Source organism: Homo sapiens, chromosome 4 (assembly GCF_000001405.40).
Source record: "Homo sapiens chromosome 4, GRCh38.p14 Primary Assembly".
Taxonomy (NCBI): Eukaryota; Metazoa; Chordata; class Mammalia; order Primates; family Hominidae; genus Homo; species Homo sapiens.
Genome location: NC_000004.12, coordinates 173,583,611 through 173,609,149, shown reverse-complemented (window position 1 = coordinate 173,609,149; position 25,539 = coordinate 173,583,611). Strand labels below are relative to the sequence as shown.

The following is a 25,539-nucleotide window of genomic DNA, read 5'->3' as shown; positions in this document are numbered from 1 at the left end:
CAGCTCCCAGCATGAGCCACGCAGAAGATGGGTGATTTCTGCATTTCCATCTGAGGTACCGGGTTCATCTCACTAGGGAGTGCCAGACAGTGGGTGCAGGGCACCGTGCGCCAGCCGAAGCAGGGCGAGGCATTGCCTCACTTGGGAAGCGTAAGGGGTCAGGGAGTTCCCTTTCCTGGTCAAGGAAAGGAGGGCACCTGGAAAATCGGGCCACTCCCACCCAAATACTGCGCTTTTCCGACGGGCTTAGGAAACGGTGCACCAGGAGATTATTTCCCACACCTGGCTCGGAGGGTCCTACGCCCAGGGAGTCTCGCTGATTGCTAGCACAGCAGTCTGAGATCAAACTGCAAGGCAGTAATGAGGCTGGGGGAGGGGCGGCCGCCATTGCCCAGGCTCGCTTAGGTAAACAAAGCAGCGGGGAAGCTCGAACTGGGTGGAGCCCACCACAGCTCAAGGAAGCCTGCTTGCCTCTGTAGGCTCCACCTCTGGGGGCAGGGCACAGACAAACAAAAAGACAGCAGTAACCTCTGCAGACTTAAACGTCCCTGTCTGACAGCTTTGAGGAAAGCAGTGGTTCTCCCAGCACGCAGCTGGAGATCTGAGAACGGGCAGACTGCCTCCTCAAGTGGGTCCCTGACCACTGACCCCGAGCAGCCTAACTGGGAGGCACCCCCCAGTAGGGGCAGACTGACACCTCACACGGCCGGGTACTCCTCTGAGACAAAACTTCTAGAGGAAAGATCAGACAGCAGCATTCGTGGATCATGAAAATCCGCGGTTGTACAGACACCCCTGCTGATACCCAGGAAAACAGGGTCTGGAGTGGACCTCTAGCAAACTCCAACAGACCTGCAGCTGAGGGTCCTGTCTGTTAGAAGGAAAACTAACAAACAGAAAGGACATCCACACCAAAAACCCATCTGTACATCACCATCATCAAAGACCAAAAGTAGATAAAACCACAAAGATGGGGAAAAAATAGAGCAGAAAAACTGGAAACTCTAAAAAGCAGAGCGCCTCTCCTCCTCCAAAGGAACAGAGCTCCTCACCAGCAACGGAACAAAGCTGGACGGAGAATGACTTTGACGAGTTGAGAGAAGAAGGCTTCAGACGATCAAACTACTCCGAGCTACAGGAGGAAATTCAAACCAAAGGCAAAGAAGTAGAAAACTTTGAAAAAAATTTAGACGAATGTATAACTAGAATAACCAATACAGAGAAGTGCTTAAGGGAGCTGATGGAGCTGAAAGCCAAGGCTCGAGAACTACATGAAGAATGCAGAAGCCTCAGGAGCCGATGCAATCAACTGGAAGAAAGGGTATCAGTGATGGAAGATCAAATGAATGAAATGAAGTGAGAAGGGAAGTTTAGAGAAAAAAGAATAAAAAGAAACGAACAAAGCCTCCAAGAAATATGGGACTATGTGAAAAGACCAAATCTGTGTCTGATTGATGTACCTGAAAGTGACGGGGAGAATGGAACCAAGTTGGAAAACACTCTGCAGGATATTATCCAGGAGAACTTCCCCAATCTAGCAAGGCAAGCCAACATTCAGATTCAGGAAATACAGAGAATGCCACAAAGATACTCCTCGAGAAGAGCAACTCCAAGACACATAATTGTCAGATTCACCAAAGTTGAAATGAGGGAAAAAATGTTAAGGGCAGCCAGAGAGAAAGGTCGGATTACCCACAAAGGGAAGCCCATCAGACTAACAACTGATCTCTCTGCAGAAACTCTACAAGCCAGAAGAGAGTGGGGGCCAATATTCAACATTCTTAAAGAAAAGAATTTTCAACCCAGAATTTCATATCCAGCCAAACTAAGCTTCATAAGTGAAGGAGAAATAAAATACTTTACTGACAAGCAAATGCTGAGAGATTTTGTCACTACCAGGCCTGCCCTAAAAGAGCTCCTGAAGGAAGCACTAAACATGGAAAGGCACAACCGGTACCAGCTGCTGCAAAATCATGCCAAAATGTAAAGACCATCGAGGCTAGGAAGAAACTGCATCAACTAACAAGCAAAATAACCAGCTAACATCATAATGACAGGATCAAATTCACACATAACAATATTAACTCCAAATGTAAATGGACTAAATGCTCCAATTAGAAGACACAGACTGGCAAATTGGATGAAGAGTCAAGACCCATCAGTGTGCTGGATTCAGGAAACCCATCTCACGTGCAGAGACACACATAAGCTCAAAATAAACAGATGGAGGAAGATCTACCAAGCAAATGGAAAACAAAAAAAGGCAGGGGTTGTAATCCTAGTCTCTGATAAAACAGACTTTAAACCAACAAAGATCAAAAGAGACAAAGAAGGCCATTACATAATGGTAAAGGGATCAATTCAACAAGAAGAGCTAACTATCCTAAATATATATGCACCCAATACAGGAGCACCCAGATTCATAAAGCAAGTCCTGAGGGACCTATAAAGAGACTTAGACTCCCACACAATAATAATGGGAGACTTTAACACCTCACTGTCAACATTAGACAGATCAACGAGACGGAAAGTTAACAAGGATACCCAGGAATTGAACTCAGCTCTGCACCAAGCAGACCTAATAGACATCTACAGAACTCTCCACCCCAAATCAACAGAATATACATTTTTTTCAGCACCGCACCACACCTATTCCAAAATTGACCACATAGCTGGAAGTAAAGCTATCCTCAGCAAATGTAAAAGAACAGAAATTATAACAAACTGTCTCTCAGACCACAGTGCAATCAAACTAGAACTCAGGATTAAGAAACTCACTCAAAACTGCTCAACTACATGGAAACTGAACAACGTGCTCCTGAGTGACTACTGGGTACATAACGAAATGAAGGCAGAAATAAAGATATTCTTTGAAACCAATGAGAACAGAGACACAACATACCAGAATCTCTGGGACGCATTCAAAGCAGTGTGTAGAGGGAAATTTATAGCACTAAATGCCCACAAGAGAAAGCAGGAAAGATCCAAAATTGACACCCTAACATCACAATTAAAAGAACTAGAAAAGCAAGAGCAAACACATTCAAAAGCTAGCAGAAGGCAAGAAATAACTAAAATCAGAGCAGAACTGAAGGAAATAGAGACACAAAAAACCCTTCAAAAAATTAATGAATCCAGGAGCTGATTTTTTAAAAGGATCAACAAAATTGATAGACCGCTAGCAAGACTAATAAAGAAAAAAAGAAGAATCAAATAGACGCAATAAAAGATGATAAAGGGGTTATCACCACTGATCCCACAGAAATACAAACTACCATCAGAGAATACTACAAACACCTCTATGCAAATAAACTAGAAAATCTAGAAGAAATGGATAAATTCCTCGACACATACACTCTCCCAAGACTAAACCAGGAAGAAGTTGAATCTCTGAATAGACCAATAACAGGCTCTGAAATTGTGGCAATAATCAATAGCTTACCAACCAAAAAGAGTCCAGGACCAGATGGATTCACAGCCGAATTCTGCCAGAGGTACAAGGAGGAACTGATACCATTCCTTCTGAAATTACTCCAATCAATAGAAAAAGAGAGAATCCTCCCTAACTCATTTTATGAGGCCAGCATCATCCTGATACCAAAGCCGGGCAGAGACACAACCAAAAAAGAGAATTTTAGACCAATATCCTTGATGAACATTGATGCAAAAATCCTCAATAAAATACTGGCAAACCGAATCCAGCAGCACATCAAAAAGCTTATCCACCATCATCAAGTGGGCTTCATCCCTGGGATGCAAGGCCGGTTCAATATACGCAAATCAATAAATGTAATCCAGCATATAAACAGAACCAAAGACAAAAACCACATGATTATCTCAATACATGCAGAAAAGGCCTTTGACAAAATTCAACAATGCTTCATGCTAAAAACTCTCAATAAATTAGATATTGATGGGACGTATCTCAAAATAATAAGAGCTATCTATGACAAACCCACAGCCAATATCATACTGAATGGGCAAAAACTGGAAGCATTCCCTTTGAAAACGGGCACAAGACAGGGATGCCCTCTCTCACCACTCCTATTCAACATAGTGTTGGAAGTTCTGGCCAGGTCAATTAGGCAGGAGAAGGAAATAAAGGGTATTCAATTAGGAAAAGAGGAAGTCAAATTGTCCCTGTTTGCAGACGACATGATTGTATAACTAGAAAACCCCCATTGTCTCAGCCCAAAATCTCCTTAAGCTGATAAGCAACTTCAGCAAAGTATCAGGATACAAAATCAATGTACAAAAATCAAAAGCATTCTTATACACCAATAACAGACAAACAGAGAGCCAAATCATGAGTGAACTCCCATTCACAATTGCTTCAAAGAGAATAAAATACTTAGGAATCCAGCTTACAAGGGATGTGAAGGAACTCTTCAAGGAGAACTACAAACCACTGCTCAATGAAATAAAAGAGGATACAAACAAATGGAAGAACATTCCATGCTCATGGGTAGGAAGAATCAATATCGTGAAAATGGCCATACTGCCCAAGGTAATTTATAGATTCAATGCCATCCCCATCAAGCTACCAATGACTTTCTTCACAGAATTAGAAAAAACTACTTTAAAGTTCATATGGAACCAAAAAAGAGCCCACATCGCCAAGTCAATCCTAAGCCAAAAGAACAAAGCTGGAGGCATCATGATACCTGACTTCAAACTCTACTACAAGGCTACAGTAACCGAAACAGCATGGTACTGGTACCAAAACAGAGATCTAGATCAATGGAGCAGAACAGAGCCCTCAGAAATAACGCCGCATATCTACAACTATCTGATCTTTGACAAACCTGAGAAAAACAAGAAATGGGGAAAGGATTCCCTATTTAATAAATGGTGCTGGGAAAACCGGCTAGCCATATGCAGAAAGCTGAAACTTGATCCCTTCCTTACACCTTATACAAAAATCAATTCAAGATGGATTAAAGACTTAAACGTTAGACCTAAAACCATAAACACCCTAGCAGAAAACCTAGGCATTACCATTCAGGACATAGGCACGGGCAAGGACTTCATGTCTAAAACACCAAAAGCGATGGCAACAAAAGCCAAAATTGACAAATGGGATCTAATTAAACTAAAGAGCTTCTGCACAGCAAAAGAAACTACCATCAGAGTGAACAGGCAACCTACAAAATGGGAGATAATTTTCGCAACCTACTCATCTGACAAAGGGCTAATATCCAGAATCTACAATGAACTCAAACAAATTTACAAGAAAAAAACAACCCCATCAAAAAGTGGACAAAGGATATGAACAGACACTTCTCAAAAGAAGACATTTATGCAGCCAAAGACACATGAAAAAATGCTCATCATCACTGGCCATCAGAGAAATGCAAATCAAAACCACAGTGAGATACCATCTCACACCAGTTAGAATGGCGATCATTAAAAAGTCAGGAAACAACAAGTGCTGGAGAGGATGTGGAGAAATAGGAACACTTTTACACTGTTGGTGGGACTGTAAACTAGTTCAACCATTGTGGAAGTCAGTGTGGCGATTCCTCAGGGATCTAGAACTAGAAATACCATTTGACCCAGCCATCCCATTACTGGGTGTATACCCAAAGGATTATAAATCATGCTGCTATAAAGACACATGCACATGTATGTTTATTGCGGCACTATTCACAATAGCAAAGACTTGGAACCAACCCAAATGTCCAACAACGATAGACTGGATTAAGAAAATGTGGCACATATACACCATGGAATACTATGCAGCCATAAAAAATGATGAGTTCATGTCCTTCGTAGGGACATGGATGAAATTGGAAATCATCATTCTCTGCAAACTATCTCAAGGACAAAAAACCAAGCACCGCATGTTCTCACTCATAGATGGGAATTGAACAATGAGAACACATGGACACAGGAAGGGGAACATCACACTCTGGAGACTGTTGTGGGGTGGGGGAAGGGGGGAGGGATAGCATTAGGAGATATACCTAATGCTAAATGATGAGTTAATGGGTGCAGCACACCAGCATGGCACAAGTGTACATATGTAACTAACCTGCACATTGTGCACATGTACCCTAAAACTTTAAGTATAATAATAAAAGAAAAGTTAAATTGACTCCATTTAAAGCGCTGTTTTTCGTTCATTGATTATAACTGTCTTAATACTGGTATTAAAAGGTACTGCCATTTATTAAGTGATAAAAGTAGTTTCTTTCATGTCTATAATTGGCAAAATTGAAAGCTGACCATCAACTAGGTTCTCCTCCCCACAAATTCCTGGAGATATTTCTGCTTATTTTATCAAAATTCTGGAAACCACCTGAAGGAGAGATAGAGATAAGGTAGAGTTCATGAGACTGGCCACAAAATTTGGGACAGTGTTTGTATTCAGTAAATATAACTGTAGATGGCTGTTCTAGCCCTGGAGAAGTGCAAACCACTCCAGAAGCTATCAGGCAAAAGTCTAAACATGACCTCACATACACATCCCTGCCCCACCCAGTGGTTTTGGGGAGACAATTCCCTAAAGCCAGAAAATATCTGAAATCTGCATCCACTGAAACTTCCTCGGTGAATGCCCAAAGTGTCCTGAACTTGATTTGGGAACCATCTAGAGTCAAAAACAACATAATTGTGTGAGAACAAGCCACACAGCAGACATTAACATTAAAAGTTAATTGTTATTTACACACAAGACAGTGTTTCTGACTGGAATTCATGCACCCTGAGTACATTTAAACATTTTAAAAGTAATGACGCCAAAGTGAGCCATCATGCGCTATCATAGCCATGTGTGGTTTATTTATAAAGCAGAGCTCACTTATAATTCAGCTTTTATCCAGTTTTAATTTTCTTGAGGTATAATCTGGCAATGTGTGAAACCACTTGATTTGTCTATTTTCTTTCTAATTTCAAGCCACAAATCTCTGGAGATGCACTACATTTATTTTCCCCACTGTACCTACAAAACAAACGGACCAGAGCACAAGTTATTTTAACAGTGTGGATTACAAAATGGTTAAGTCAATCACCACAATGAGAGGTGATCGTGAAGACGGCTGAAATAAGGAGATCAACTTGCCCTCCACATATGGGCACTGTGAGACTTAAACTGCAGCCGTAGTTAAACCCTGCAGCTCTGAGTGGACTGAAACCAGAGCCCTACCTCCGCACTCCATTCACAAAACTGAACTCATGGTAATTAATTAATGATTAGTCCATTTCAGCTTAATATACGAACATAAGCTTTTGCTGAGTGATGTAATATTTCAAAAGTGAGACTGTGCTATGGAATTTATTGGACTTCCTGAAATCACCAGTGTAATTGTTTTTGCTGTTCACATATTAGGCACAGTCTCAGGAGGAAAAGCTGATTCTTCTCATATAATACTCTTTCCCCAAAGTTTGGAAGTCTGTCATCTTTCTCAATATACTCACTTCGTTAAATAGTTTACGGCTTGCAAGAGGGTCACAAAGTCTGAGTAACAAAATGACTGTCCCGACAGATTTAGACAATAAAACACCAGATTGTTATATAAATGTTTTTCTCAGAGGCTGTTTCTGAAACACATACTAAATGCAAATATTGAAACACCTGCATGCCAAGCACAACTCTTTTAACAGATGTTAATCCCTCTGCATTTAACCAATGGATTTAGATCACATAAATATAACTTACCCCCTTTAGACTATCTTGGAAAATTACCAATTAACTTATTTCAGTTTGACAAAGAAATCATCACTCCCTACATTATAATTTTATTTTATATTAAAAATGGGGAGACCTAAAAAGCATGCAAAAAATATGAAAAGCCAACCTGAAACTCAGGCAAAGCCTTATATCAGAAGGAATTATGTAAATTGTCTACTTTCAGCATGAAAAATATACAAAGATTGATGTTTACAAAGTTGTTTCTTTTTTTTTTTTCTCCTTGGTTCTGAAGGCTAAAAGGTTTGATTTAATCCATCACTAACTAGGACAACCATCTAGAAAGCAGTCATCTTTTTTTCCTCCATTTCTGAAGCCTGGTGGGTACCCTTGCTTATAGTTAAAACCTACATCAACATCTATTTCCTACTTGGGATGCCTGTAAGAGATCTTTTTAATTCTTCTTCAGTCTTCCAGCCATCAATCGTCCTTATGAGTCAATTGCTTAATAATAATAGATGTTATCATTTTGGTGCCAGACCCTGCAATGGGTATGTGATATACATTATCCCATTTAATTCTCAAATATCTCAAGAAGTGGGTTTCATTTTCCACATTTACTGATAACTCAGCAAGCCCACACAATTTAACCTGACACACATACTGGATAAGTGGTACAGTCCAGATTTTAACACATTCCAAAGCCTATACTTTCCTCTTGGCCATAATGCCACTCACACATCTAACTATAAATTAATGTTTTATAGAGGAGCCTTCCATTTCCATTTTTAAACATATTTTATTCTTTTTTTTTTTTTTTTTTTTTTTTTTTTGAGCCGGAGTCTCGCTCTGTCGCCCAGGCTGGAGTGCAGTGGCGCGATCTCGGCTCACTGCAAGCTCCGCCTCCTGGGTTCACGCCATTCTCCTGCCTCAGCCTCCCGAGTAGCTGGGACTACAGGCGCCCGCCACTGCGCCCGGCTAATTTTTTGTATTTTTAGTACAGACGGGGTTTCACCGTGTTAGCCAGGATGGTCTCGATCTCCTGACCTCGTGATCCGCCCGCCTCGGCCTCCCAACGTGCTGGGATTACAGGCGTGAGCCACCGCGCCCGGCCTCTTTCTTTTTTAAGAAAAATGGAAGGAAAAAAATATTTGTGAGGATTGCCAAGATACTTCAAAGCCACATGCTGGTCTCATTCTCTCATGTCAGAGTCAGACTTGCATGGCTGGCACAGTGCAGATAGTTCTTTTCCTGTAAATATGGATTTGTTGCTGGATGAATTCATATCTACATGTATGATAGTGTCCCAGAATTTCATCCTCCACCTTGTTGAGACTTTTCTTCCACACATTTGCATGATCCCATTTGTCCAAGAAGCTTCTGGATAAGAAAAGAGTCAGCCTTGCCTCATGAGAGTCCCTTCCCTCCCCTATATTTAATCAGAGATAAATCAACACAAGTCACCAACACACTGAGATTAAACTCCAGTAAAGTCAAGCCAGGAGTTAGCTGTGGAATCCTGTCATGCTATAACTATGAAGTCATAGACCTTCAGATTCTTAGTCTGGGAATTCCATTTTTTGGTCGCTATAGCATGACAAATAGGAAACTATGGCCAGTTTTCATTTTGTTACCATGGATAACCTTTCCAATTGTTGCCTTTTCTCATACCCTCATATATATTCTCTATATAGCATCTACAGTATTGAATATTACTGTGGATACAAAATACAAATTTTTCATTTTGTTGCCATGGACAACTTTTCCAAATGTTGCCTTTTCTCACATCCTCATATATATTCTCTACATACCATCTACAGTATTGAGTATTGTAGTGGATGCAAAATAGCTCTAAAAGTGGTTTCTGCCCTCACAGATCTTAGATCCTCCTTGAAAATATAATACGTGAAACCATAAGACACAGGGAGGTGTAAATTAGATGATTAATATAAAATATTGGTATAGGCTATAATACAATGAAAAGTCAATGAGAGAGAAGGTTTCTCTAAAACATAGGCACCAAGAAGGCTGAAAGGAGGTGGTTCTTAAAGTGTTGATTTTCCGGAATGAATAGCATTTCAGTAGATAAAAGTAGTGAGGGTATTGTTAGGAGACAGTTCTCCATAGGTGTCTTACATTTTTACATTACTTTTTTTTTCTTTTTCCTTTCTTTTTTATTTCTGATGAGCAATCAAACTGGGCATTTCTAAATTTCTTGCAAGCAGAGGAGTGAACTGTCACTGTTCCAAACTATCTTTTCAGGGATGTTTGTATAGCTAACCACCTTGGAAGGTAGAAAGAATATCTCTCTCTGGGGCAATGGAGCAGACATGCTAACTGCCCATTATAAAACACTTAGTTTCCGTAAGCTCAGAGTTCCTCTCCGGCAATGCAACCCACGGGGTGTACAGGTGTCACCTGGCCCACTTTATGTCACCCTGTTGGGTGGTCACACTGTTGGAACTGGAGCTTGGGGCAGTGACATAAATGCTAATACACCAGCTACTGCTATTGCTTGGGGTCATGAAACCATGGCAGGCTAACTTGTTAGCTAGCAAGTAAGGTAATATATCAGACCCTTCACAGTTCCTAACAGGCATATTTAAGACAAAGGTCACAGACTAAATAAAAGCCTAGAAACAGGAATATACTGGGGCAAATGCAAAGAAAGATACTATATCTCCAGGTAGTTTTAAATAACATCACTGGATTTGGTCCTTATAATTGAACTAAGAATATGACCGGCCAGATTTGCCAAGTGAATTAATTATACTCCATATTTAAATGACCTACATTGTAAAAAGAATTTTTTTTTCTTTCCAGTGCCTTTTAAGGTAGAGAAATAATACATTTAGTTATGTTACCTGTGGCAGGACAGAATAAATCCATTCACTTCCCTAAAAATTACTGACACATCGAGGTGGGACTTACAAAAGCCCTAACCCATTGTCCTAGCTGGTTCAGGCTGCTACAAAAAGTGACATAAACTGGGTGGTTTATAAACAATGGAGGCCAGGCGAGGTGGCTCAAGCCTGTAATCCCAGCACTTTGGGAGGCCAAGGTGGGTGGATCTCTTGAGACCAGGAGTTCCAGACCAGCCTGGCCAACATGGTGAAACTCTGTCTCTACAAAAATACAAATATTAGCCGGGCATGGTGGCACATGTCTGTAATCCCAGCCACTCGGGAGGCTGAGGCATGAGACTCACTTGAACCCAGGAGATTGCAGTGAGCCGAGATCATGCCACTGCAGTCCAGCCTGAGTGACAGAGCGAGACTCTGTCTCAAATAAATAAATAAATACATAACAGAAACGTATTTCTCACAGTTCTGGAGACTAGAAGATCAGGGTGCCAGCACAGTCAGCTTCCGAAAAGAGCGAGAGCTCTCTGGGGTCCCTTTGATTAAGGGCACTAATCCCATTCCTGAAGGCTCCACTCTCATGACCTAACTACTGCCACAGTCTCCACCTTCTAATACCATCATATTAGGGGTTAGGATTTCAACATATGAATTTGGAAGAACACAAACATTCAATCCGTAACACCCATTTTGAGTCTTAGTGATCAACATAATGCACTGAAATCTTTGCGTAGTTTATTTTCAATGAATTAAATTTAGGCTTCACCAATCATGTTTCCCATTCCACCTCAGTCACCAGGAAGTTTAGAGCCAACTGAACTCAGCTTTACTCCCATTGGTCTGAATAGTTCTAATTCTCCCTAGATTCGACCCTCACATTACATTTGCGCTGGCCCTGACTTTCTATTCATGCATACCTTTTAACTTATTTTACATATGGATATGTAAAATACCTTTTCTGGAATGAAGAGAGTATTAATTAGTCAATAGTAGATCATTGATCATTTACATAATTAAGTTTTGATGAATCTATCAACTGTTTACCCAAAATCTCACCTCGTTTTCTCAATCCTAAGGGTAGAACTAAAAATTCCAGCCAGATGTGCATTTAGCAGACAATGTGGCTACACTCTTCAACCTCTACATGCTGCGTAATGACTTTCTGCTCAGGCAACAGTCCAGGAGCTGGGAGATGGAGAAAGGAAGTCAGAGTAAAACAACTTAGGTTTTTTTCCAAAGAGTCACAAGGATTCTCGTGATCATGGAGGGGAAGGGTGCTATCCAGATTGTGTCTAAACACTATACTGATTGGCTCTACATAAAAGTGTACAAATAATGTGCTTGTATATCACCTTGACATATTTAGGCTGATGGCATTATATCAGCAACGTGTGTTTCTGCTACATTGCACTTTTCACCCCCAAGTCTCTTTACAAGCATTATGTAAAATTATTGACACAAGTACCACATGGTTCAATTAAATTGAAATCATTCAGGGCAGTGACCGGTGCCTGGACAATCAGACAATCGAAAGATGCTTTCCAAAAGTTGTTCTTCCAATTGAAGTATATGAAATCTGTAAAATAACAATAATTATTTCCACACCATAAATCAAGATAAAATATTTATTGCCAGAAATTTCCAGTAGAATGAACACCTTCCAGATCTAAGTCATCTCAACATAATACAGCTGTCTGAAACAACACTGGAATTTCTGTGTTTTTCTTTCTTTTTTTTTTTTTTTGTTTGAAATCGAGTCTCGCTCTGTCCCCCAGGCTGGAGTGCAGTGGCAATGCAATCACCATCTCAGCTCACTGTAACCTCCGCGTCCAGGGTTCAAGCGATTCTCCTGTCTCAAGTTCCCAAATAGCTGGGATTACAGGCGTGCACAACCACGCCCAGCTAATTTTTGTATTTTTAGTAGAGATGACGTTTCACATGTTGGCCAGGCTGGTCTCGAACTCCTGACCTCAGGTGATCCGCCTGCCTCAGCCTCCCGAAGTTCTGGGATTACAGGCGTGCGCTGCCGCGCCCAGCCTGTTTGGCTTTTCTTTAATAAGAAAACACATTTCAAATCGTGAATAATAGGTAAGATTTATATTATATTTAAGAAATCAAGGAAAAAGATAAATAAGAAAAGGATTACTGTAATGCCTTGAAAAAATAGTTTTTACTTTTACTTGTAGGGATCTTCTGTAAAATGCAACTAAGTACATGAGAGATGCAAAAGTAAGGGAGGCAGGGTTGAAAAGTGCAAGACATAATGAGAATAGGAGACAACATTGTTTTTAGCACTGTTTTAAGATTGTGCAAAACATGAAAACAGATGAAAAGAAAGGATTCATTTAAGTATTCCCCGCACCCCATTTTCCATAAGCTAAGATTACTATTATCTAGAGTAGCAGTACGCTGCAGAGGTTAAGAGCTGGACTTTAGGAGCAAACGAATTGTCTAATGAATCAAAACTTGACTCTATCACTTCCTTTCTCCGTGTTCTTCGGAAATTACTTGGCCTCTCTAAGCCTGAGTTTCCTCATCAGGATAGAAAGGTTGTTATGAAGAACAAATGAGATAACACCAGGATAGCACATAGAACAATAGCTGGCACATATATGATTCTGTAAATTCAAATTTTACATTTTGATTTAATGATAGATTTTACTGCAACAATGAAGTACCAGATGCATTCTCTATTTGTGACTTGATGGTTTCCATTCAAGCCTGTTCTGTGGGCAGAGGTCTACTCTGTTTTCTAAAGTGCTGAAGTAGATCTGTTTGCAGTATGTTTACAGAGACATCTAAATTTTTCAGATCAGTAGAGTTGCATTTAATATTAAAAAATGTCACATATCCCTGTATCTTCCAATAAATATATCCAAAGCCTTCATTTGACACTTTGTGTTATACTGAAATGACAAATATTCTCAGTATAGCCTTCCTAGAGATTATCAAATTCAGGTAACACATTCTGAAAGCTTCTCAGATGTTGAATAGTACTTAATTTTGATTACTTATCACACATCTCAATAGGCATTTCAATATAGTTTATCTTGATGTTCCAAAAATATGACATAACATTAAATCTATAGATACTCTCTGTATTTTAAGAAAATCTAAGAAGCAAGTTGTTTCTATAGAAGCTGATGCAGTAACCAAATTAACTATAGCAGAGGTCCTCAAACCCCAGGCCTCCATCTGGTACTGGTCCATGGCCTTTTAGGAACTGGGCTGCACAGCAGGAGGTGAGCGCTGGTCAAGGGAGCATTACTGCCTGAGCTCCACCTCCTGTCAGGTCAGCAGTGGCTTTAGATTTTCATAGTAGCACGAACCCTATTGTGAACTGCACATGCAAAGGATCAGGTTGCTCACTCTTACTAGATGGAGCAGTTTCATCCCGAAATCATTGCCCCCCACCATCCGTGGTGCCCGAAATGTTGGGGACCGCCAAACTGTAGCATTATTGCTACCCAACTTTCTCATTGTGACATAGTTTTATACATTTTTATATTTTTAAATATATATTTTTGGCCGGGCCCGGTGGCTCACGCCTGTAATCCCAGCACTTTGGGAGGCCGAGGCGGGCAGATCACGAGATCAGGAGATCGAGACCGTCCTGGCTAACATGGTGAAACCCTGTCTCTACTAAAAATACAAAAAATTAGCTGGGCATGGTGGCGGGCGCCTGTAGTCCCAGCTACAGGAGGATGAGGCAGGAGAATGGCGTGAACCCGTGAGGCGGAGCTTGCAGTGAGCCAAGGTCGCGCCACTGCACTCCAGCCTGGGCGACAGAGCGAGACTCTGTCTCAAAAAAAATAAAAATAAAAATAAAAAATAAATAAATAAATTTTTTTAAATGTATTTAAAGATACATGATTTTATCCAAACTAATCACTGTAACAGGGCTCACTTGCAAAAAATTTTAATCATATATTAAAAGATACACATTTAAAACAGGTAAATCAGTGTGTAATTTGTGTTATAAAATGCAGTATTGCTTATGGAGTAGCACTTGATCTAAAAAGCTGTAAAATAATTGCAAATTAGTGGCAGAAGTCACTGTTACTTGGAAATGAATCCGAAACTAAAATGAAACAGTTCTGAATTATAATATGTCAACGAGGATAGTTTTATTTACAAATAATGTAACAGATCTCAGCAATTGTACAAATCGAGAAAATATGTAACTACAAATTAATTAAGAACTAAGTAGCCATCCTCTGGATTATTTATCAAACACTTTTATTTTAGCCTCCTCCATGTGGCCACATGCCTTTCCACTGGCCTTCCCAACTAGTATTGGTTATAGTCAAATGTCAGGGATCCACAATTGTTTTTATACAGGACCAGGCAGCAATTATGTTAGGCTTTGAAAGTCATATCTCTGTTGCAACTACTCAATTCAGCTGTTTTAGCATGAAAGTGAGCATAGGCTGTATGCACAGTCAACAAGTTACGAAATGGGCATGGATATGTTCCAATAAAACTTTATAGAAACAGGTGGTGGGACATATTTGTTGACTCCCCACCCCACCCCCAACTCTTTCTCCTGCAGAGAAAACTCTCTTGTTACTCCCTTCACTTAAGTCAAAGAAGAAAAAAGAAATATGTGCAGTTGTTGACCATCTGACCCAAATATTCTGTTAAATATCTGAAGATCAAGATGAAGAACTGAGTTTGAAATGTGATCACACACTTCAATTATTAAAAGCAGCCCTAATCTACTTAAAGAGGTATTTTTTCTTAGTATATGCACATTACACAAAGATACGTTTAAACGTTATTTCTGAGATGTTTCCTCAAAGGGATTATTTCTGGAAAGCGTAAAGATTTTTTACTTTCTAATGCAAGTGCCTCTTTCAAAAATGTGAGAAAAGTCAGAAATTACTAAACTTGCCCTCAACATTCTTCTCTTAAGCTAGAAAAGACAAAATTCAAACACTGAATGTTGTGATCTGTAACAAAGAAAACACCAGGTGCAAATGTGGAATTGGTTCTCTTTGCTCAAGTGAAAACTAAGTGTTGTTCTAACCAAGTTTTGGACTGGAACTAGAGTATTCTAAAAAATATGTATAAGGTAGGAGTAAGTCCCTTCTTTTATACATTTATTTATTTATTTATTCTTTCGACAAATATATGTATATGTATGTTTGTTGAAGCAGTAAATATATGAATTTATATATATATATAGTTTGTCATATATTTGTCATCAAATATATGATGATGATACATTAGCTTGTAATGGTAAGACAGAATTCTTGCACTGTATTTGTACTTTATTGAAGCAGAAGAAGCAAAGTACAATAAAAACTATACCTTGTGACACTATGTGGCAGTACCATTCAGGCACCGGGAACACAATGGTGAGAAAACAGACAAAAATATTTCACAAACCTTACATCATGTAGTGAGAGACAGAGAATAGACAGAGTAAAAATTTTAAATATGCAATACATTCGATGACAATAAATAACTTAGTGAAAAATAAAATTTGGAATGGGATTAGGAAACATAAGGCCTGGGAGTTACAATTTCATATAAAGTAGCCCAGATAAATCCTCACTGAGGATGTTGACATTTCAGTACAGAGACACTGCAGGATAGAGCCCAAAATAGAGTGAAATGTGGTCCAGACAGAGGGAAGAGCAAGTACAAATGGCCTGAGGTGACAGCATGCCTGATGTGTTGGAATGTCTAGAACAGAAACAGGTTAACCAGTTAGAAGAATATTGCAATAGCCATTCCTGATGCAGGGGCTCACATCTGTAATCCTAGCATTTTGGAGGGCTGAGGTGGAAGGATCATTTGAGGCCAGGAGTTCAAGACTAGCCTGGGCAACATAGCAAGACCCCACCTCTATCTAAAAAGCTAAAAAATGATTAACCAGGCATGGTGAGGCACACCTGTAGTTCTACCTACTTGGAGGCTGAGGCAGAAGGATAGTTTGAGCATGGGAGTTCAAGGTTACAGTAAGCTGTGATTGCACCACTGCACTCCAGCCTTGGCAACACAGCAAGACTCTGTCTCTAAACATATGTGTGTGTGTGTGTGTGTGTGTGTGTGTGTGTGTGTGTGTGTGTTGCAATAACCAGGTGAGACATGTAATGGTGTAATGGCTTGGACTAAGGTGGTAGTAGTGGAGATTTTCCTATTTCTATTTATTCCCCAGAATGAATACATCCTACAAAAGACCTGGAAAGAAACAGGACATGGTTTTGAGTATAATCTTGCTGCAATTCAGCAGCCTTTCCTTGGGGTGGGATCTCAGAAGTTTGGGCAGGGAGAATGAGGTCAGAGAGCCACATGCAGTATCTCATACGGGTTTCCTCTGGAGTATCAGAAATTCTAGACTGATAACGTTAAGTCTGGGCATGAAAGTAAAAGAGTAGCAGAGGAAAAGATCCATTATAGTCACTACCAGTTTCTGGAGTAAGGTGGATACTTCAACATGAGTTGCTAAATCTGCCTGTTCTCATCCCTACTTTTTCACCGCTTGCTCTAGACTAATTACAGGGCTGATGGACTTTGTATGAATTTCCTATGCAAGAGAGTGAAATTATAGGAAGGTTGCCTTTGGAAATTGAGACTAGAGAGAAGGATGGGAAATTCTCCATTCTCTGTTTCTTCAGTACAGAGAACATAGGTTCGCAATACACTAACAAGTACAGAGGGTAGAGGGAGCGTCTCATGGAAAGCTTGGCGTACTCCACAGTGCCTACTACAGGTGCCAGTAATTATTTGCTCTATCAAATTTAATTGAATTACACAGCAAGTTCTATTTATTTCTAGATAATGGGCTTATTTGATTCTTAACATTTTCAAGCTTTCTTATTTATGATTCTAATATTCTTTAAAATGATGATGTGTTAGCTTATATTGGTAAGATGTGATTTTTTTTTTTTTGAGACGGGGTATTGTTCTGTGGCCCAGGCTGGAGTGCAGTGGCAGGGTCTCAGCTCACTGCAGCCTCCACCTCCTGGGTTCAAGCAAGTCTCCCACCTCAGACTCCCAAGTAGCTGAGATTACAGGGGCGCACCACCATGCCCAGCTAATTTTTTGTATTTTTAGTAGAGACCGGGTTTCACCATGTTGGCCAGGCTGGTCTGGAACTCCTAACCTCAGGTGATCCACCCACCTCGGCCTCCCAAAGTGCTGAGATTACAAGCATGAGCCACCACCACCAGCCAGATATGATTATTTTACTGTACTTGTACTTTATTGTAACAGAAGAAGCAAAGTACAATAAAACTATACCTTGCATACAGCCCTCAAATAGTTGGTATGTAAACACTTATAATAGAGTTACAAAATTTAAGGTAAAAATAAACAAAATACTATACAACCAAGGTCAAATTATTTTCCAATAGATTAATACATGACATAATGGTTATACAGTGCCTTGCTCACAATAGATACTCAAATATTTGACAATTGATTAATTGGTGTTCTCATAGACTCCTGCATTTAAGATCTTCATGGATAGTTCGTCCACACTAACAAGAACCTGGATGTCTCTACAACTCTGCAATTCAACTGCAGTCATGGAGAAAAATCCCTTTCTGGGAAGAAACACCCATTTGCCAGGATCTCTGTGGAAAAAAACAGAAAGCTGAGTTTAGGTGCTCTGATGTCATTCTCTATTTTTATAAATAAGAAAGTTGTGATGCAGAGAACCATTTAAGGAAACTAATTTGAGAAGCACAGTAGGAGAGGTGGGACCGAGGCCAAGTGTAATAATATGTGCTGTGCAGGAGAGGTATGGCATGATTTCAAATGGGCGAGTGACAAGGTCAGGCTGCAGAGCCATCACTTTGGCGGTGCAGGATGGCCCCACCACTCCAGTCACATGTGTCAGCAAGTCACTGGACTCCATAATCTCATACCCCTGTACCTCTGTAAATGGCCTTCTCTCTGATGGGAATGACCTCCCCTTCTATGCCCACCAGACGCATCCTTCAAGCATCACTCCTTTTTGAAGTCTCCCCTACTACCAGTCCATTCTTCTTTTGTGCCCACTCAGTAATCATCTGGGACCTGGAGCAAAGATTGCTGGTGTATCTTATTCCTCCGCTAGGCCATGAGTTCTTTAAAAGAAAGGACTGCCTTACTTCTTATATTTTCAATTGTGAATGCCTAGCACAAAACCTGATACACTAGGTACTCAAGAAGTGCTTGTCACTGCATATGGGCACGGTCATCAAGTGGCTAAAGTGTTGCATTCCCAACTCCTTTCTCTGCATCGCATACACCTGGATGTTGCCTCTTCACTGCATCTTTGCTTTCCTTTACGATTCCCAAACTCTTTTGAATACACAAATAAAAGTTCTATATATTTATGGTGTTCAATTCCATGTTTTGAAATATGTATATGTTGTGAAATGGCTCAATCAAGCTAATTAATATACATGTTATTTCACATATTTATCTATGGTGAAAACACTGAAAAACTCTCAGCAATTTTCAAATACACCATACATTATTATTACCTGCGGTCACCGCCCGGTAAATAGATCTCTTGAATTTATTCTTTCTGACTAACTGAAATATTGTCTCTTTTGATCAACAACACTGTTTCTCCCCACCCTCACAGGCCCCTGGCAACCACCATTTCAACTCTCTGCCTCTGTGGTTTCAACTTTTTGGATTTCACATATCAGTGGGATCACGCAGTATGTGTCTTTCCGTGCCTGGTTTATTTCACCTAACTTAAGGGCCTCCATATTCATCCATGTTGCTGCAAATGACAGCAACATGGTATGGCTGCATAGTATTCCACTGTGTATGCGGATGAACCCTAAGACTGATTCCATACCTTGTTTATTCTGAGTCCTCATTTCAGTGCCACACTGAAGCTCGCCCTCTAAACATTTCAAGGTCTAAAGCTACCCCCACCCCCTTCCTCTGCTCCTTAAGACCTGCTCTTTCTCTGTCAAGGTAATAAAGCTGATCACTGGCTAAACTAGCTCATGTTGAATCGCCGCATGACACAATTTCTCTTTTGGAAGACAGTTCCTAAAATCCTCAGGGAAAAATAGCTAATGGTTGAATTTCAGACACAGTGGCTTAATGGCAGGGGCAGGAAAAGGAGGCATTTCTGTGTTATGGGTGCAGCCAGTGATCCCTAAAAATAATATTCTGAAGGCAGCTGTTATACCATCAACATGTGGACATATATGAATGGATTAAAAAAATTTTCACTCACAAAAGCCTGGTTATTTCAGCACTGTTTCAGCACATATTTTTAAATGTACGTATGAGGTTTTCCTTTTTCAAAATGACTGTAACTTGATTGATCTGTGTGATTGAAATATTTTTCACATTCAAAGAAAAAAAATCAGATACACACATTGACACGGATGAATGACCAAAAAATAAGAAGCAAAAAAAAAGGAAAAGTCACAGAAGAATATATCCAGTATGATTTCATTTATTTAAAGTTCAAAAACAATCAAAATAAAACTGTGTATGTTTTATGGAGACATTCACAGCTGGCTAAACTATATAAGAAAGCAAAGACATGATTAGCACAAAATTCAAGCAAGTAGCTACCTCCATGACAGAGGCAGGGGCAGAAGGAAGGCTTGCCTTCTGCAACAGAGTAATAAATTATTTTTTTCAGCCAAGCAGTGGGTATTCACTATGTTATTATTATTTAAACTGTGCATATGTCCTCTTTCAAATGTATGACACCTTTCGTAACAACAAAAGAAAACTGTGCACTATTTTTCTTATACAAAGAAAATAATAATCACTTAAAACCCACCACCGGGAGTTAACTATTAACAACTTTAACAATGTAGTTTTTTTTATATGCATGTGCACACACAAACACACACACAAGATTTTACGTGTATATAGGATCATATGTCATAAATACTGTTGCAGCCTGCTTTTTATTCAATAGTACACAAATGCATTGTATTGAGATGAACCCAAGGGCAAATACATGAGAAAAAACATCAGAACCTTGATAAGAACTCAATTCACACAAAAAGAAATGTTCTCATCTAATGTGATTAAGTAATTTTCCTCAGACCTCCAGAATTTATACAAAAGAATTGTATATGTCCCAAACAAATTTTCAGAAAGTGCCACACAAAACTAACCTTTCCTTAGGAAGTAAACTTCATCATATAACATCTTTTTAATCCATGGCCAAAGGCAGAGGTTTTTCACTTGCAAGTTAAATTCTTCTTTACTATGGAACAAATGTGCCAAGAACTATATTCATCATTTTCAACACAGAAAAAAAAAAAAACTGTGTTACATCAGAGCTCATAAAAATGGAAAATGAAGAAGTAGTTTTCTCACTTCTGACATGCATAAGACCTAGACAGATACAGCATTTAAATTCTGTTATCTTAATAACAGAACTCTTTCCATCTAAGACCTTAAATCATGTCTCAGCCATGGCGATGCTTATGAATCCTAATTGCCTGTTACTACTATATTAGTAAACTCTTTTTTGGCTGACATGCCTTCTGGACCAAATTGTTCTCTTGAACAAACTGCTTGCAAACCAGAGCCTCAGTAAATATTTCCTATGAACTTGAATTTTTCAATGCAGCAAGCCACAACTGGTAATCATACACTTCACACTCATGGCTTTCTATAAATGTTTGAGTTTGAAATAATAAATGCTTTTAAAAATACCTCCACTTTGATAGGAAAACCCTGTTCACCTCACAGCTCATTCCCACTTTTTAGTAATTTTTCTCTCATCAAGTTGACTCAAATTGAAAACATATCACCAAGAACTGAGCCACATAACTGCCTAACATAGGTTCCAGAAATGAGGGCAGGGGCCAATGAGTGGGACCTGAGAACTTGTGGAGAAAGGGATTTTTCTTATCAAAACATGATCGTGAGCTTGGGAATGTGCTCACAAAAATTATTTTGGCTGAAGGAATTCCATGCAGTTCCAACCATCCCCCAAACCAAATCATTCTGAAAGATTGTAAGATTTCACACCTACAATTCAAGTCTCTCATTTCCTCCTAAATAAACTAAATTGAATTTCTGTAGCTATAACTGTTAAAAGGTATTTTTCCCTTTTTAAGTGAATGCAATGTGCACAGATACTCCCAATTCATTAAACATGTCTCTCAAAAAGCAGAGACGTTCAGAACAGCAGTAACATGCTGGGCTTCATGAGCCCGGAGGCAAGTGCTGTGATCAGGATGGATAAAAATGTCTCACTGCAAGCCAAGATCGCGCCACTGCTCTCCAGACTGGGCGACAGAGCGAGACCCCATCTCAAAATATATATATATATATATATATATATATATATATATATATATATATATATATATCTCACTGCAACCAAGACAACTCTGTTGGGGAATTAGAACTGGAATCACCTGAGGTCGGGAATTCAAGACCAGCCTGACCAACATGGAGAAACCCCTTTTCTACTAAAAATACAAAATTAGCCGGGCATAGTGGCACATGCCTGTAATCCTAGCTACTCAGGAAGGCTGAGGCAGGAGACTTGCTTGAACCCAGGAGGCAGAGGTTGCAATGAGCCAAGATCATGCCATTGCACTCCAGCCTGGGCAACAAGAGCGAAACTCTGTCTTAAAAAAAAAAAAAGAGACTGAGTCCAAAGGAGCACTATTACCAAATTTTAATGTATTCTCCCAATTATTTACAACATTACCAAAACCAATACATAGAGATGTACCATGTTTGCATGCCTATGTGGGGCTTAACCACTTATAAAATAACACATGTGGCATGAAACAGAGCCATGACTGCAGTGAAGGGGACTGGGCACCTCCCACACTTCACCATAGCCCTGGCCCTGCTGTGAAAGCAGTAACCTGGACAAATAGAAATGGAATGATTTATTTTAATGACAAGTAGCTGTTCTAAAAATAGGAATTTTAAAAGATGTCTTGGTATTTTTAAATAGTCCTCTTTCAATTCTTATAACATTAACAGTTCTAGAGCCAGATTCACAAGCCACACAATTCAACAGGATTTTCCCAAAAAAAGAATTCCTCGCAACAAACCAGCAGGAGGCATAGTCAGTCCCACCTTGACAGGGTGCTATTTCTACCAATTCTATTTTTAAAGTTTTATTGCCTTTCTCCCAGCTAATCAGTACCCGGTAATTGATCTTGAATGTTGTATGTTCATTTCACTGTATTGCAACGTAATGCCTTCCACATTTCCTTGTCAGCTATATTATTTTTTAAATTACCACTCAAACACAACTCTGATGTCAGGAGGTGACTTCTGTCACGTGAGATACAGTATCTGCCTTCAACAGCCGATCAGAACCTCCCAGCACCTCCTCAGACACACCTTCCTCAGGATCGCATCTATTCTCACATTCCTGCGAGGCTCTTTTTCCTTATTTGAAGTTATGCTCATGACTCTGAGCAAGGCAGTCATTACCTCTCCTACCCACAAATAGAATCCATTAAGAGAAAATTTGTTCCAAACTCATCTTCGGGTAGTGAGGAAGACTGGGTAAACCTCCAAAGGTCTAAAGGTTGAATTTCATTTGGAAAAGTCCCCAGAAGTTCAGCTGCTTATCCAGTCCTTATCCAAACTATGAAAGTGGACTAGGGATGTGCTGACAGGGAGGAATTAAAAGTTCTACCAGGCACCAGTGAAACCAGTTGCATAGCCCATTGCTGCACACAGCTTCTGAGAAGGAGGGAAGAGAGTGAGAAGATGCCGAGGGAAGGCGGATCAAGAAACCTCATTCTTAGTCTTCCAGGAGCCTCTGAGAATTGTTCATGCTGCATTTCAAACCAGGAAGTCCTATTATCCTTATAGAGGTTGCTCTTGACAAATAGTTCATTTGTAAATAAGGTTGAGATGCCTTTCCTAAAAATAATTTATTTTCTGACTTGAAGGTCAAAAGCTTTGAAAGGTAGTGAGGCACCATTATTTCCTTAGGGTTTTATTTTTTTTTTTATGTTGTAGAGACAAGGTTTCACTATGTTGCCCACCTGGTCTCGAACTCCTGGCCTCAAATGAACTTCCACCTTGGCCTCTCCAAGCAATGGGATTACAGGTATGAGCCACTGTGCCTGGAAAAATCCTTGGAGTCTTAAAGATGATGTTTGGAAATGAAGAAAATTATATTTGAAAAAAGAAATAGACACAGAGGGATTTATTATGGAATCCCAGCCAGGCACGGTGCCTCACGCCTGTAATCCCAGCAGTCTGGGAGGCCGAGGCGGGCAGATCACTTGAGGCCAGTAGTTTGAGAACAGCCTGGCCCACATGGCAAAACTTCATCTCTACTAAAGATACAAAATAATTAGCCGGGCATGGTGGTGCACATCTGTAATCCCAGCTACTCAGGAGGCTGAGGCATGAGAATCACTTGAACCTGGGAGGTGGAGGTTGCAATGGTTGAGATCACACCGCTGCACTCCAGCCTGGGCGACAGAGCAAGACTCTGTCTCAAACAAAAAAGGAATTCCAAAGAAGTCTATCAGATCAGGTACTCATGCTGTGAGGGTATGGGACTGAAATAATTCAGCAATTTAACCACTCACATCAAAGATTCCTTTGATTTTCTCAATCAATGTTAATGGCATTTTGATCTGAGCTTTAATAAAAATAAAATTACTCAGATCACTGTTTAGTTGAACTAGGTTAATATAGGGAGTTAAAATATTAAGCCTTAGAATAGTGCCTAGAAGGAGAAGCTTCCTTTAAGAGATCTGCCAATCCACCTTTTCCTCCCCAGAGCTTCATTCAATCATTCCAGAGAAAAGACAGCTTTTCTATTTTTGAAGCACAGCCATAGGGAAAACTAAATTCTATCCCATCTCATTGTTAATAACACTCATCAGTGCTGGAAAATTGTTTCTTATGTGTGACCCAAAGGAAAGAATTAAAGAATGCTCTAGGCCATCCCTCACTGGGACTGACATCCTATCTCTGAGGCCTAATCCCACTCACTGGCCTTTCTGAAGTCCAGAACGGGTGTATGAGGCGCTAAAGATAAGCTAAGGCCTTCCATATGTGTTCCGCTCTTCCTGGAAATCATTCTCTCCTAGAAGAAAAAACAAGACTCTATTTCAACGGGGACATATCTTTTCAAATCTCCCAAAACTTTGAATAAGATTCCCTTAAGTCCAGACCTGGCCATTTTTTTGATGAACAGTACTAAGAAAAAACAAAAAAAGAAAGGAGGTTTAATTAAAAGAAACTTACATTTTTATATATGTGCTTTTCTAGGATTTGAATACACTAAACACATCAATATTACCCAGATCCCTTGGGGGAAAAGGAAACCACTCCAAAAGAAGAAAAGCTTTGAACTTTCTTTGAATGTAAAGCACAAAGTCATATAATGCCTGCTCACATTATGTAATTGCCCACAGAAAGTTGGCTAACTTAAAAAAAAATGTACAGTTCTAGTTTGTTTGTTTGTTTGTTTGTTTGTTTGTTTGTGACGGTGTCTCGCTCTGTTTCCAGGCTGGAGTCCAGTGGCGCAATCTCGGCTCACTGCAACCTCCGCCTCCCAAGTTCAAGCAATTCCCCTGCCTCAGCCTCCGGAGTAGCTGGGACTATAGGCGCGTACTACTACGCCCCGCTAATTTTTTGTATTTTAGCAGAGACGGGGTTTCACCATGTTGGCCAGGATGGTCTCGATCTCCTGACTTCGTGATCTGCCCGCCTCGGCCTCCCAAAGTGCTGGGATTACAGGTGTGAGCAACCGCGCCCAGCCAATTCGAGGAGTTTTTTAAAGGTGTGTTGAGTAGGTGGGATCCTGTGTTGCTAGGATAATACTTGTGCAGATCTCATTCTGATAGAACACCAGGTATCCAGAAATAAAAAGCGGGGAAGGGAATGGAAGGGAAAGGGAAAAGGAAAAGGAAAGGGAAAGAGAGAGGAAGGGAGGAAGGAAGGAAGGAAGGAAGGAAGGAAGGAAGGAAGGAAGGAAGGAAGGAAGGGAGGGAGGGAGGGAGGGAGGGAGGGAGGGAAGAAGGGAGGGAGGGAGGGAGGGAGGGAAACTAGGTATCCGGAAAGTCACAATTTTTTCTGGTGTATCTAGGAAACAGCCATGTGTAGGTG

General features: G+C 40.1%; 1 long non-coding RNA gene across 2 annotated transcripts in view, besides 2 other annotated features; it reads right to left on the bottom strand.

Annotated features, from left to right (window-relative positions):
* Positions 257-834: an enhancer, noted in NCBI's record as "OCT4-NANOG-H3K27ac-H3K4me1 hESC enhancer chr4:174529467-174530044 (GRCh37/hg19 assembly coordinates)". NCBI's record gives its function as "activates a minimal SCP1, AML or CMV promoter by ChIP-STARR-seq in naive H9 embryonic stem cells {active_cell/tissue: H9 hESC(naive)}" and the evidence as "EXISTENCE:reporter gene assay evidence [ECO:0000049][PMID:30033119]".
* Positions 314-503: a silencer, noted in NCBI's record as "fragment chr4:174529798-174529987 (GRCh37/hg19 assembly coordinates)". NCBI's record gives its function as "represses an EF-1alpha promoter that drives an FKBP-Casp9 reporter gene in an ReSE screen in K562 erythroleukemia cells {active_cell/tissue: K562}" and the evidence as "EXISTENCE:reporter gene assay evidence [ECO:0000049][PMID:32094911]".
* The window catches only part of HAND2-AS1 (HAND2 antisense RNA 1), a 62,656-nt gene continuing 55,011 nt past the window's right edge, over positions 17,895-25,539 (bottom strand). The window contains exon 5 of one of the 2 annotated variants that reach the window (NR_136196.1): positions 17,895-18,077. This is a non-coding gene — a long non-coding RNA (HAND2 antisense RNA 1). Of the gene's footprint in view, positions 18,078-23,421; positions 24,515-25,539 lie in introns of those variants that run through there. The other variant, NR_136195.1, reaches the window with a different exon arrangement.